The following is a 14501-nucleotide window of genomic DNA, read 5'->3' as shown; positions in this document are numbered from 1 at the left end:
TCAGGCAGAGAGTGGTTGGGTGCACCTGTTTCTGATTATGTTAGTGAAGGCACAAGAATATGAGTGTCTTCGTATCTGTGTATCTCTGAATACATTTGGGTGGTGACCAAGTGTATTGGGGGGTGTCTAGGGGTGTGTGTGTGTGGGGTATGTATCTGGGCACGTGTAAGTGTGTGTTTAATTTGTTGTGTGTACAAGGATATGTATTATATAGATGTCTGTATCCTGAGGATGGATGGAAGTGATGAGTGTGTGTCTGTTTTTTGTTTTTGTTTTTGTTTTTGTTTTTGAGACAGGGTCTCACTCACTCTGTCTCCCAGGCTGGAGTGCAGTGGCGCGATCTCGACTCACTGCAACCTCCGCCTCCCAGGCTCAAGCGATTCTCCTGCCTCAGCCTCCCGAGTAGCTGGGATTACGGGGTTGCGCCACCACTCCCGGCTAATTTTTGTATTTTTAGTAGAGTTGGGGTTTCACCATGTTAGCCAGGCTAGTCTCAAACTCCTGACCTCAGGTGATCACCCGCCTCAGCCTCCCAAAGTGCTGGGATTACAGGCGGCAGCCACCGTGCCCGGCTGTGTGTGTGTTTTTGGAGTGCTGTGAGTATGTCTATCTCTGTGCATCTGAACGTACTGGTGTGTTGTATGAGGCTGTTATTGATGCCTCTGTCAATGCAGGAGTATGGAGAGACATTGAGAGTGTGTGTATTTCAGGCCGAGAGCGGTGGCCACGAGTGTAATCCCAGCACTTTGGGAGGCCAAGGCGGGCAGATCACTTGAGGCCAGGAGTTCAAGAGTAGCCTGGCCAACATAGCAAAACCCCGTCTCTACTAAAAATAAAATTTTTAAAAATTAGCCGGGCATAATGGTGCATGCCTGTAATCCCAAGTACTCGGGAGGCTGAGGCGGGAGAATCGCTTGAACCAGGGAGGCAGAAGCTGAGATAGTGCCACTGCACTCCAGCTTGGCCAACAGAGTGAGACCCTGTCTCAAAAAAAAAAAAAAAGTGTGTATATTTCTGCAAGAGTGTGACTATTTGTGTCTATGAGTGTCCTTGCGTAGCTGTACTGGGTGTATTTGCAAGTGTCTTTGTGTATTATTCTGGTATCTGCAGTGTGTGCTGGGAGAAGGCTCTGTGTGGAGGTGAGGCTGTGTGTCTAAGTGGGTTTGTATTTGAGTATGTGAATCTGGCTATATGCACATGGATGTGTGATTGATTGATTGATTGATTTTTTGAGACGGAGTCTCGCTCTATCGCTCAGGCTGGAGTGCAGTGGTGCGATCTTGGCTCACTGCAAGCTCTGCCTCCTGGGTTCATGCCATTCTCCTGCCTCAGCCTCCCGAGTAGCTGGGACTACAGGCACCCGCCACCACGCCCGGCTGGTTTTTTGTATTTTTTTTTAAGTAGAGACCGGGTTTCACCATGTTAGCCAGGATGGTCTCGATCTCCTGACCTCGTGATCCGCCCAACTCGGCCTCCTGAAGTGCTGGGATTACAGGCTTGAGGCACCGCGCCCAGCAGATGTGTGATTTATGATGAGCAGTTCCTGACTATATTTTTGTGCATATATGTGTGTTTATATGTGAGTATCTTTGTGGATTTGAATATATGGTGGGTGCCTGTGACAGATTGTGTAGGCATGAAAGCAGGTATACCTGTGCAAGAATGCCTGTTTCTGCTGGGTGCAGTGGCTCATGCCTGTAATCCCAGTGCTTTGGGAGGCTGAGGCGGGTGGATCACCTGAGGTCAGGAGTTCAAAACCAGCCTGGCCAACATGGTGAAACCCCATCTCTACTAAAAATACAAAAGTTAGCCGGGCGTGGTTGCCCACACCTATAATTGCAGCTACTTGGGAGGCTGAGGCAGGAGAATCGCTTGAACCCAGGAGGCAGAGGTTGCAGCAAGCTAGGATTGCACCACTGTACTCCAGCATGGGCGACAGAGTGAGACTCCGTCACATTAAAAAAAAAAAAAAGAATGCCTGTGTCTGAATGCTTTTGTGAGAGTTCAAATGTGCATATTTATCTAGGAATTCATATCTGTGTAAGCAAATGTATTTCTGTGTATGAATCTGATTGTGTCTGTAAGTATGGAAGTGTGTGTGAACGCGTTGAGTACAAATATTTGTGTACATGAGTGCAATTGTGTGTTTATTTGTAAGGTCTAAGCACCGATTTGTGGATTTTTGGTTTTTTTTTTTCTGTTTGTTTTTTTTTTTTTTTTTGAGACCGAGTCTCGCTCTGTCACCCAGGCTGGAGTGCAGTGGTGCAATCTTAGCTCACTGCAAGCTCCGCCTCCCGGGTTCGCGCCATTCTCCTGCCTTAGCCTCCCCAGTAGCTGGAACTACAGGCGCCGGCCACCATGCCCAGCTAATATTTTGTATTTTTAGTAGAGACGGGGTTTCATTGTGTTAGTCAGGATGGTCTTGATCTCCTGACCTCAGGTGATCCACCCGCCTCGGCCTCCCAAAGTGCTGGGATTACAGGCATGAGCCACCGCGCCCAGCCGGATGTTTTTAATATTTTAATATTTGCTTTTGTTCTATTGTTTGTTTTGTTGTTGTTGTTTTATTTTTTTTTTGGACAGGATCTCACTCTGTCACCCCAGGCTTGAGTGCAGTGGCACAATCATGGCTCACTGCAGCCACCATCCCTGGCTAATTTTTTGTTTTGTGTAGAGATGGGATCTCCTTATATTGCCCAGGCTGATCTCAAACTCCTAGGCTCAAGGGATCCTCCCACCTCGGCCTCCCAAAGTGCTGGGATTACAGGCATGTGCCACTGTGCTTGGCCCTCCATTGTATTTTTGTCAAAATATCCCCTGCATGCCTCTTAGCTGTATATAATTGTGAATGCACAAGTGTTTGTGTGAGTTCGTTCTTTACAGGCCTGGAAAGAAAAGTGTGTTACTTTCGGCCAGGCACGGTGGCTGAAGCCTGTAATCCCAGCACTTTGGGAGGCCGAGGCAGGTGGATCACTTGAAGTCAGGAGTTCAAGACCAGCCTGACCAACATGGTGAAACCCTGTCTCTACTAAAAATACAAAAATTAGCCAGGCATGGTGGCACATGCCTGTAATCCCAGCTACTTGGGAGGCTGAGGCAGGAGAAGCGCTTGAACCCAGGAGGCAGAGGTTGAAGTGAGCTGAGATCTTGCCACTGCACTCCAGCCTGGGTGACAGAGCCAGACTCTGTCTCAAAAAAAAAAAAAAAAGAAAAGAAAAACGTGTGTTACTTTCAGAACACACACACACACACACACATACATAGGCACCTTGTCACCTTGTGAACAGGAATAAGTGCTCACAGACTCACACAAATATTCACAAATTCACACAAATGTAAATGTCAGCTTCATGCACACAAATGCACTCAGAAAGTGATACGTAAAAAGATAACATACAGGCCGGGCACAGTGGCTCACTCCTGTAATCCCAGCACTTTGGGAGGCTGAGGCAGGTGCATCACCTGAGGTCAGGAATTCGAGACCAGCCTGGCCAACATTGTGAAACCCCATCTCTACTAAAAATACAAAAATTCCCTGTGTGTGGTGGCTGGCGCCTGTGATCCCAGCTACTCAGGAGGCTGAGGCAGAAGAATTGCTTGAACCCAGGAGGCAGAGGTTGCAGTGAGCTGAGATCGTGCCACTGCACTTTAGCCTGGGCGAAAGAGCAGGACTCCATCTCAAAAAGAAAAAAAAAAAAAAAAGACCGGGCCCAGTGGCTCACGCCTGTAATCCCAGCACCTTGGGAGGCTGAGGTGGGCGGATCACCTGAGGTCCGGAGTTCAAGACCAGCCTGACCAACATGGAGAAACCCATCTCTACTAAAAATAAAAAAAAAATTAGCCAGAGGTGGTGGTGCATGCCTGTAATCCCAGCTACTTGGGGGGCTGAGGCAGGAGAATTGCTTGAAACCAGAAGGCAGAGATTGCGGTGAGCTGAGATTGCACCACTGCACTCCAGCCTGGGCAACAAGAGCGAAACTCCGTCTCAAAAAAAAAAATAAATAAATAAATAAATAAATAAATTCCAACACTTTGGGAGGCCAAGGTGGGCAGATCACCTGAGGTCTGGAGTTCAAGACCAACCTGACCAACATTGAGAAACCCCATCTCTACTAAAAACACAAAATTAGCCAGGCATGGTGTCGCATGCCTGTAATCCCAGCTATTCAGGAGGCTGAGGCAGGAGAATCGCTTGAACCTGGGAGGTGGAGGTTGCGGTGAGCCAAAATCGCACCATTGCACTCCAGCCTGGGCAATGAGAGCAAAAAAACTCCGTCTCATAAAAAAAAACAAAAACAAAACGCTATGAAATGGAAAGACGCTGTGGCAAGGTGGTCTCCAAGACCCTTGACCCCGGATGGTGGCCCCAGAGCTAGCTCTTTGTTGAAATGGCACGTGTGTTTGGGGCGTGGGTCTCATGGTCCGGAGCATGTGAGCAGGCATGGGGGTGGGTGTGCCGAGGGAGGGGAGCTGGGGCGTGGGCCCTCCTGTCTGGATGTGCCCGTGCAGGAGTGGGTGTGGGTGCGCAAAGGGGCCAGTGTCTGTGTGTGTGAGCACAGGTGCTGATGTGGATGACGCATGCCCCGGCTCCTGTCCCAGTCCCCTCGAAGGACCTAAACAAGGTCTTTTCCCCACTGGACCTCAGTTTCCCCATCTGGAGACCTGGGGTTCCTGGCCCGGGGAAGCATTTCCAGCAGGAAAGGGTGCTTCTGCCATAACCTGCCCCTCTGTGAGCTTGGCGTGTCCTGCCGGCTCACACGTGGGTTTGCTTTTCCTGGGATGGTTCCCATGACCTCCGTGGACCCCAAGGACAAACCCAGCAAAGGCAGCAAATGCAGCATGCTCACACACAATCCGGGGAGATGTGGGGTGGATACACGGGTTCAGCTTCCCATCCCGGGAGGGGGCTGCAGTTTGGGAAGGATGGGTGGGGGGCCGTCCAGGTCCAGAGGTGTTGGTGCAGGTCAAGTGCTCCTGTCCCTGCCTCCAGGGGCCTCCACTGGCCCAACCCCCACACTGGGCGGACTGGAAAGCCTGGCTGGTCTAGACTGCCCCACCCACACACTGCAGGCTGGAATCAAGATCCCACCTGCCCCTGGGGGCCTGTTCCTACGGCCTAGGCAGCCTCAGACACACTGGCTGCCCTGTGTGCATGGGGCAGCCCCTCCCCGAGCCCCCCTCCAGCCTCCCGCCTCCTCCCACACCTGGAGCTCTTTGGGCTCTTACACCTCCTAACTCATTAGACAGAGCCTGGTTATTAAGCTGGGGGTGGGGATGACTTAGAGGGTTTATAGGTCAGGAGTTCAGGATTTGGTTTGGGGGAGTATGTGAAACCCCATAAAATCATCTGCAAAATTCTACCTGTGTGTGCACTTCAGGGATCAGACTCATAGATGACAATTTCTGAGAGTGTTATATGCCCGACATCGTCTCATTAATCCTCACGCCAACACCAGCATAATGAGGATTGTACCCATTTTACAGATGGAAAAACTGAGTCATACACCAAGGAGAATAGAAGGAGGCTTTGAGCCCCAAGTCACCGGATCTAGGGTCCACCAGCTGAGCCACTTTGCAGCCCTTCCAGTATGAGGCTGGTTCACCCTTCTCTCAATGTCTATGACCTTCAGGACGGGCACAGTGGCGCATGCCTGTAATCCCAGTACTTTGGGAGGCTGAGGCGGGTGGATCACTTGAGGTCAGGAGTTCAAGAGCAGCGTGGGCAACATGGCGAAACCCCCTCTCCACTAAAAATACAAAAATTAACTGGGTGTGGTGCTGGGCACCTGTAATCCCAGCTACTCGGGAGGCTAAGGCAGGAAGATGACTTGAGCCTGGTAGGCGGAGGTTGCAGTGAGCTGAGATCGTGCCACCTCCGGAGTAGCTGGGATTACAGGCACCTGCCACCTCGCCCGGCTAATTTTTGTATTTTTAGTAGAGATGGGGTGTCACTATGTTGGCCAAGCTGGTCTCGAAGTCCTGACCTAAAGTGATTCGCCCACCTCGGCCTCCCAAAGTGCTGGGATTACAGGCGTGAGCCACCGTGCCTGGCCAGTATGGAGTTTATTATCAGCACTCCCCAGGTACCTCAGGGGGACATGTCCAAAATATTTCAAAAGAATTATTTATATATAGTGTGTGTGTATATATATATCTGTAAATATTATGTTATATATATGTAAATATTATATGCTATATATGTATATATGTTATATATATATTTGTAGAAATAGGGTATCGCTCTGATGCCCAGGCTGGAGTGCAGTGGCGCAATCATAGTTCGCTGTAGGCTGGAACTCGTGGGCTCAAGCGATCCTCCTGTCTCAGCCTCCTGAGTAGCTAGGACTACAGGTGTGCACCACCACACCCTGCTAATTTAAAAAATATTTTGTAGAGATGGGTCTGGCTATGTTGCCCAGGCTAGTTTCAAACACCTGGCCTCAAGCGATCCTTCCACCTCGGCTTCCCAAAGTGCCTGGATTACAGGTGTGAGCCACCATGCCCAGCCACCATGCCCAGCCTCAAAATAATTTTTAAGAACAATATTGACTGGGCATGGTGGCACACGCCTGTAATCTCGGCACTTTGGGAGGCTGAGGTGGGCAGATTGCTTGAGCCCAGGAGTTTGACAACAACCTGGGCCACACAGTGAGATCCTGTCTCCACACACACACACAAAATACAAAAATTAGCCGGGCGGGGTGGTGCATGCTTGTAGTCCCAGCACTTTGGGAGGCCGAGGCGGTAGATCACTTGAGCCCAGCAGTGCGAGACCAACCTGGGCAACATGGAAAAACCCCATTTCTGTAAACAATACAAAAAATTAGCTGGGTATGGTGGCTTGAACCTGTAGTTCCAGCTACTTGGGAGGCTGAGGCAGGAGCATCCCTTGAGCCTGGGAGGTGGAGGTTGCAGTGACGCGAGTTGTGATCATGCCACTGAACTCCAGCCTGGGCAACAGAGCAAGATCCTATCTCAAAAACAAAAACAAAACAAAAAACCAACATTCTGGGCACGGTGGCTCACACCTGTAATCCCAGCACTCTGGGAGGCTGAGGCAAGCGGATTACTTGAGGTCAGGAGTTCATGACCAGCCTGGCCATCATGGTGAAACCCTGTCTCTACTAAAATACAAAAATTAGGCTGGGCGTGCTAGCTCACGCCTGTAATCCTAGCCACTTTGGGAGGTCGAGGTGGACGGATCACTTGAGATCAGGAGTTCAAGACCAGCCTGGCCAACTTGCTGAAACCTCGTCTCTACTTAAAAGACAAAAATTAGCTGGAAATCGCTTGAACCCAGGAGGCGGAGGTTGCAGTGAGCCAAGATCATGCCATTGCACCCCAGCCTGGGCAACAGAGCGAGACTCCGTCTCAGTAAAATAAAATAAAATAAAATACAAAAATTAGCCAGGCGTGGTGGTGTACACCTGTAGTCCCAGCCACTTGGGAGGCTGAGGCAGGAGAATTTCTTGAACCCAGGAGGCGGAGGTTGCAGTTTGCTGAGATCGCGCACCGCACTCCAGCCTGGGGCACAGAGCGAGACTCCGTCTCAAAAAACAAACAAAACAAAACAAAAAACAAATATTGTGCATGCCAAAGGCCATCCCTGTCCTTGCGCCTCATGACAGTTGCATTTAGATGCAATAGACTAATACGAGTGAAAGAAATCATTTCATGGCCAGGCGCGGTGGCTCATGCCTATAATCCCAGCACTTTGGGAGGCCGAGGCGGGTGGATCACAAGGTCAGGAGATGGAAACCATCCTGGCTAACATGGTGAAACCCCATCTCTACTGAAAATACAAAAAAATTAGCCAGGTGTGGTAGCACGCGCCTGTAGTCCCAGCTACTTGGGAGGCTGAGGCAAGAGAATCACTTGAACCTGGGAAGCGGAGGTTGCAGTGAGCCAAGTTCGTGCCACTGGACTCCAGCCTGGGCGAAAGAGCGAGACTCCGTCTCAAAAAAAAAAAAAAAAGAAAAGAAAAAGATCATTTCACCTAGGGATAAAATATTGGGACAATCACACAGTCTAGCAAAGGAGCTAGTGACAGTCAGGGTGGGAGCTGCTTTTGCTAGGGCAGTTGTCTGGGCAAGCTTCTTCGAGGAGGAGGGAGAGGTAGGGCAGGGAATGGGGCGATGAAAAGAAGCAGATGGGAGAAGAGCATTCTGGGCAGAGCAACTGGCAAGGACAAAGGCCCTGGGGAAGGACCAAGCTGGTGCTCAAGGAAGGGCACTGTCCCTGGAGTGCAGCCAGGAGCAATGCCAGGAGACGCCGGAGGGTGTTTTGCTGCCCAGACTCTCCCTGGTAAAGCACCACTTCTTCATTTTTTTTTTTTTTGAGATGGAGTCTCACTCTGTCACCCAGGCTGGAGTGCAGTGGCACAATCTCAGCTGACTGCAACCTCTGCCTCCCATGTTCAAGCAATTCTCGTGCCTCAACCTCCCGAGTAGTTGGGAGTGCAGGCGCACGCCACCATGCCTGGCTAATTTTTGTATTTTTAGTAGAAATGGGGTTTCAACATTTTGGCCAGGCTGGTCTTGAACTCATGACCTCAGGTGATCCGCCCGCCTCAGCCTCCCAAAGTGCTGGGATTACAGGTGTAAGCCACCACACACGGCCCCATTCTTTTTTTTTAAATTTTTATTTATGTATTTATGTATTTATTTATTTTGAGGTGAAGTCTCACTCTGTTACCCAGGCTGAAGTGTGGTGACAAGATCTCAACTCATTGTAACCTCCACCTCCTGTGTTCACATGATTCTCGTGCCTCAGACTCCTGATTAGCTGGGAGTGCAGGTGCGTGCCACCATGCCCGGCTAAGTTTTTGTATTTTTAGTAGAGATGGAGTTTCACCATGTTGCCCAGGCTGAAAAATAAAACATTTAAAAATTAGCCAGGTATGGCGGTGCATGCCTGTGGTCCCAGCTGCTTGGGAGGCTAAGGCGGGAGGATCCCTTGAGCCCAGGAGTTTGAGACTGCAGTTAGCTATGATTGCACCACTGTACTCCAGCCTGGGTGACAGAGAGAGACCCTGTCAAAAAAAAAAAAAAAATGACGTCGGATGATTATAATCCGAAATATAAAATGAATATTTGTGAGTCCATGCTGATGTCAAGAAATGAGCAGGCCAGGCATGGTGGCTCACGTCTGTAATCCCAGCAGTTTGAGAGGCCAAGGCGGGAGGATCGCTTGAGGCCAGCAGTTCCAGACCAGCCTTTACAACATAGCGAAACTCCATCTCTACTAAAAATAAAACAAATTAAAGAAATTAGCTGGGTGTGGCAGTGCACACCTGTAATCCCAGCTATTCAGGAGGCTGAGGTGGGAGGATTGCTTAAGAGTGGGAGGTTGGGGCTGCAGTGAGCCGTGTTTGCATAAGTGCACTGCAGCCTGGGCAACAAAAAAAAAAAAAAAAAAAAAAAAGGAGCACATAATTTCATAATAGGGGATGAGGGACTTCTTCCCCTGCAGAAGAATTTCAAATAATTCATGTAGATGCTCTGCCCTCAAGGAGTGGAACGTAACTCTCCAATCCTTAGGTGTAAGCTACACGGGGTGCCTTCCTTCCAAAGATCACAGTATGGAAGGAGGAAAGAGGAAAAAAAAGAATAACTTTACAGTGGAGAAACCTAACACACTACTCCAGCAGACAGTCAAAGACAACCTTGACAGTCAGAAATTATGTTGTTAGTATGTACTTTTATTTATTTATTTATTTTGAGACACAGTCTTGCTGTGTTGCCCAGACTGGAGTGCAGTGGTGCGATCACAGCTCACTGCAGCCTCCACCTCCTAGGCTCAAGCAATCCTCCCACCTCAGCCTCCTGAGTAGGTGGGACTACAGGTGGGTGCCACCACACCTGGCTATTTTTTTTTTTTTGAGACAAAGTCTCATTCTGTCACCCAGGCTGCAGTGCTGTGGCGAGATCTGGGCTCACTGCAACCTCTGCATCTTGGGTTCAAGTGATTCTCCTGCCTCAGCCTCCTGAGTAGCTGGGATTACAGGCACACACCACCAAGCCTGGCTAATTTTTGTCTTTTTAGTAGAGACGGGGTTTCACCATGTTGGCCAGGCTGGTCTCGAACTCCTGACCTCAGGTGATCCGCCCATCTCCACCTACCAAAGTGCTGGGATTACAGGCGTGAGCCACCACACCCGGCCTCACATGACATTTAGTCATCACTTCTCCTTCCATTCAACTGGGACAGTTTCTCAGGAACTGAGAGGCTAAGGCTGGAGAATTGCTTGAACCTGGGAGGTGGAGGTTGCAGGGAGCCAAGATCACGCCATTGCACTCCAGGTTGGGTGACAGAGTGAGACTCTGTCTCAAATAAATAAATGTGAAATCCTGCATGGGATCCTGGGACAGAAACAGGGCATTAAGGGAAAGCTGAAGAAACTGAATGAAGAATGGACTTTAGTTACTAAAAATGTATCCATATTGGTTCATTCCTGGGAGGCGGAGATTGCAGTGAGCTGAGATCGCACCCCCTCCTCTCCAGTGTGGGCAGCAGAGCGAGACTCTGACTTAAAAAAAAAAAAAAATTGGTTCATTGATTGTATCAAATGTGCCATACCAGTGTAAGATGTTAATAAAAGGGGAAATTGTATTGTGTATGTGTTGGGGGAGAATGAGTGTACTCAAACTCTCTGTACCATCTACTTGATTTTTCTGAAAATTTAACACTGTTCTTTAAAAAGTCTATTAGCTGGGTATGGTGGCACAAGCCTGTAGTCCCAGCCACTCAGGAGGCTGAGGTGAGAGGGTCACTTGAGCCCAGGAGTTGGAGGCTGCAGTGAGCTGTGATCGCACCACTGCACTCCATCCTGGGCAACAGAGTGAGACCTTGTCTCCAAGAAAATGAAAATAAAAGGCCGGGCGCGGTGGCTCACACCTGTAATCCCAGCACTTTTGGAGGCCAAGGCGGGCAGATCACCTGAGTTCGAGAGTTTGACACCAGCCTGACCAACGTGGAGAAACGCCCGTCTCTAATAAAAATACAAAGTTAGCCGGGCGTGGTGGCGCATGCCTGTAATCCCAGCTACTCTGGAGGCTGAGGCAGGAGAATTTCTTGAACCTGGGAGGCGGAGGTTGTGGTGAGCCGAGATAGCGCCATTGCACTCCAGCCTGGGCAACGAGAGCGAAACTCCATCTCAAAAAAAAAAAAAAAAAAGAAAATGAAAATAAAAAAATAAAAAATTCTATTAATACAGGAAGGAATTTAAAAGGCATGCAGAACATGAGCCCAGCTGTCATAAAATTACTGTGTGAAATTACTATAATGATTCTATTTATTTATTTATTGAGAGAGGGTTTCACTCTGTCACCCAGGCTGGAGTGCTTCACTCTGTCACCCAGGCTGGAGTGCAGTGGTGTGATCATGGTTTGCTGCAGCCTGGACCTCCCAGGCTCAAGCAATCCTCCCACCTCAGCCTTCCAAGCAGCTGGGACCACAAGCATGTGCCACCACATCTGGCTAATTTATTTTTTATTTTGCAGAGATGGGGTCTCGCTATGTTGCCAGGCTGCACTAGAACTCCTGGGCTCCAACGATCCTCCTGCCTCGGCCTCCCAAAGTCCTGGGATCACATGCATGAGCCACTGTACCCAGCCTTTAAAGGTTCTAAAAGCTGGCCAGGGTGCGGTGGCTCATGCCTGTAACCCCAGCACTTTGGGAGGCCGAGGCAGGGAGATCACCTGAGGTCAGGAGTTTGAAACCAGCCTGGGCAACATGGTGAAACCCTGTCTCTACTAAAAATACAAAAATTAGCCAGGCATGGTGGTGCAAGCTATTCCAGAGACTGAGGCAGGAGAATCTCTTGAACCTGGGAGGCGGAGGTTGCAGTGAGCCAAGATTATGCCACAGCACTCCAGCCTGGGCGGCAGAGTGAGACTCCGTCTCAAAAAACATAAATAAAAATAAAGATTCTGAAAGCTTTTTTTTTCTGGACTCTCTCATCTAAATGGGAAATCAACAGCTTGGGGACCAGCTGCAGTCTGCAGCTCACACTTCGGGTAGTACAAGTACAGGTTTTCTTGATCACGGCACTATTGAGATGTAGAATATTTGGATAACTCTTTGCTGTGGGGGCCATCCTGTGCATTGCATGAAGTTTAGCAGCACCCTTGGTCTCTACCTACCAGATGCCACTAGCAGCCCCCTCCAGTTGTGACAACCCAAAATGTCTCCAGACATTGCCAAATGTCCCCCAGCAGGAGGAATCATCGTCCCCTTAAAAACCATGAACAGGTTGGGCTCAGTGGCTTACTCCTGTAATCCCAGCCCCTTGGGGGGCCGAGGCAGGCGGATCACTTGAGGTCAAGAGTTCAAGACCAGCCTGGCCAACATGGTGAAACCCCATCTCTACCAAGAATATAGAAAAAAGTAAGCTGGGCATGGTGGTGCACACCTGTAATCCCAGTTACTCAGGAGGCTGAGGCAGGAGAATCGCTTGAACCCGGGAGGCGGAGGCTGCAGCGAGCTGTGATTGTGCCACTACATTGCAGCCTGGGTGACAGAGCAAGACTCTGTCTCAAAAAAAAAAAAATAGAAAGAAAGAAAGAAAGAAAGAAAGAAAGAAAGAAAGAAAGAAAGAAAGAAAGAAAGAAAGAAAGAAAGAAAGAAAGAAAGAAAGAAAGAAAGAAAACTGCGTACATACGGATGACAAAATCAAACCTGAAAGCTCGGTCCAGAAAAACCCATGCACATCTGTGAGCTTCAGGTTGCCCTTAGGGGACCCGGTGTTGCCAAGACAATTTCAGGTAGACCACAGAGGCTTCAGTAACGAGGTCAGCCCCAGGGTGTGGCTTTGGGGCCGGGGAGCACGCACGGGTGCAGAATGTGTTGGGAGATGGAATTGGCAGGGCTTGCTGGTGGATGGGAACAGGCGGCCAGGAGAGGGAGGGCGGAGTCTTGGAAGATGCCCAGATCTCTGCCTTTCGCAAGCAGGTAGATGGTGGTGCTGCATGCTGAGATGGGGACAGGAGATGAGGGGCCAGGCTGGGTGGGGAGGATGAGTTTCGTCTTGGACAGGTTGAGTTTCACATCCCGGAGGGCCACCAAGGAGGCCAGAAATTTGTCATCTTTACCACATGATGATGAGAGCGGGCCCAGGCACCTCCACCAATACACAAGATCCCCAAAAGAGTGAGAGGAGTGAGCTATGATCACACCACCGCATTCCAGCCTGGGTGACACAGCAAGACCCTATCGCTCTTTGAAACAAAAAGCAAAAAAGGCCGGCGCGGTGGCTCATGTGTGTAATCCCAGGACTTTGGGAGGCCAAGGTGGGTGGATCACTTGAGGCCTGGAGTTCAAGACCACCCTGGCCAACATGGTAAAACCCCATCTCTATTAAAAATACAAAAAAAAAAAAAAATTAGCCAGGCGTGGTGGCGGGCGCCTGTAGTCCCAGCTACTCGGGAGGCTGAGGCAGGAGAATGGCGTGAATCGGGGAGGTGGAGCTTGCAGTGAGCAAAGATCGTGCCACTGCACTCCAGCCTGGGCGACAGAGCGAGACTCTGCCTCAAAAACAAAAACAAACAAAAATTAGCTGGGCGTGGTGGCGCTTGCCTGTAATCTCAGCTACTCAGGAGGCTGAGGCACGAGAATCACTTGAACCTGGGAGGTGGAAGTTGCAGTGAGCCAAGATCATGTCACTGCACTCCCGCCTGGGTGACAGAGCAAGACTCCTTCTCGAAAAAAAAAAAAAGCTCTGAAGCTGTGAAACGACATCAAAGAAACTTAGGTGCATATGGCTAAGTGAAAAACACAGTCTGAAAGGGCCACTTATTGTGTACTTCTCCAACTCCACGACATTCTGGAAAAGGCAAAACTATGAAGATAGTAAAACCTCAGTGGTTACTAAGGGTTAAGAGGGAGGACAGATGAGTAGGTGGAATGCAGAGGATGTTTAGGGCAACGAAACTACTCTGTATGACACTATAATGGTGGGCCGGGCGCAGTGGCTCACGCCTGTAATCCCAGCACTTTGGGAGACCAAGGTGGGCGGATCACCTGAGGTCAGGAGCTTGAGACCAGCCTGCCCAACATGGTGAAATCCCGTCTCTACTAAAAATACAAAAAATTAGCCCAGCATGGTGGCGCGCGCCAGTAATCCCAGCTACTTGGAAGGCTGAGGCAGGAGAATCGCTTGAACCCAGGAGGCGGAGGTTGCAGTGAGCTGAGATTTCGCCATTGCACTCCAGCCAGGGTGACAGAGCGAGACTCTGTGTCAAAATAAATAAAATAAAATAAAATATAGATAATATCCACAAATACATACTCAAATATTTACAAAGGTAACCAGTAATACCCACAGAATTGCATGCATTAACGCGAACATCTGCGCACGTGCACACACACATCAATACATTCATGCAGATGCTCACTACTGATGTAGGTCAAGGGAGAGACATTATTTCAAGTGTGCTCTCCGTCATTTATATGTCCTTGATAGGAAGAAACTTCCTTTCCCTCCCTCTGGTAGAAGGAGGTGT

General features: G+C 49.5%; 1 annotated feature.

Annotated features, from left to right (window-relative positions):
* Positions 2012-2212: a silencer, noted in NCBI's record as "peak3321 fragment used in MPRA reporter construct". NCBI's record gives its function as "represses an SCP1 promoter by STARR-seq MPRAs in K562 erythroleukemia cells {active_cell/tissue: K562}" and the evidence as "EXISTENCE:reporter gene assay evidence [ECO:0000049][PMID:32103011]".

Source organism: Homo sapiens, chromosome 19 (genome assembly GCF_000001405.40).
Source record: "Homo sapiens chromosome 19, GRCh38.p14 Primary Assembly".
In the NCBI taxonomy this organism is placed as follows: domain Eukaryota; kingdom Metazoa; phylum Chordata; class Mammalia; order Primates; family Hominidae; genus Homo; species Homo sapiens.
Note: the sequence above shows the minus strand (reverse complement) of the source record. Positions and strands in the feature narration are given on the sequence as shown.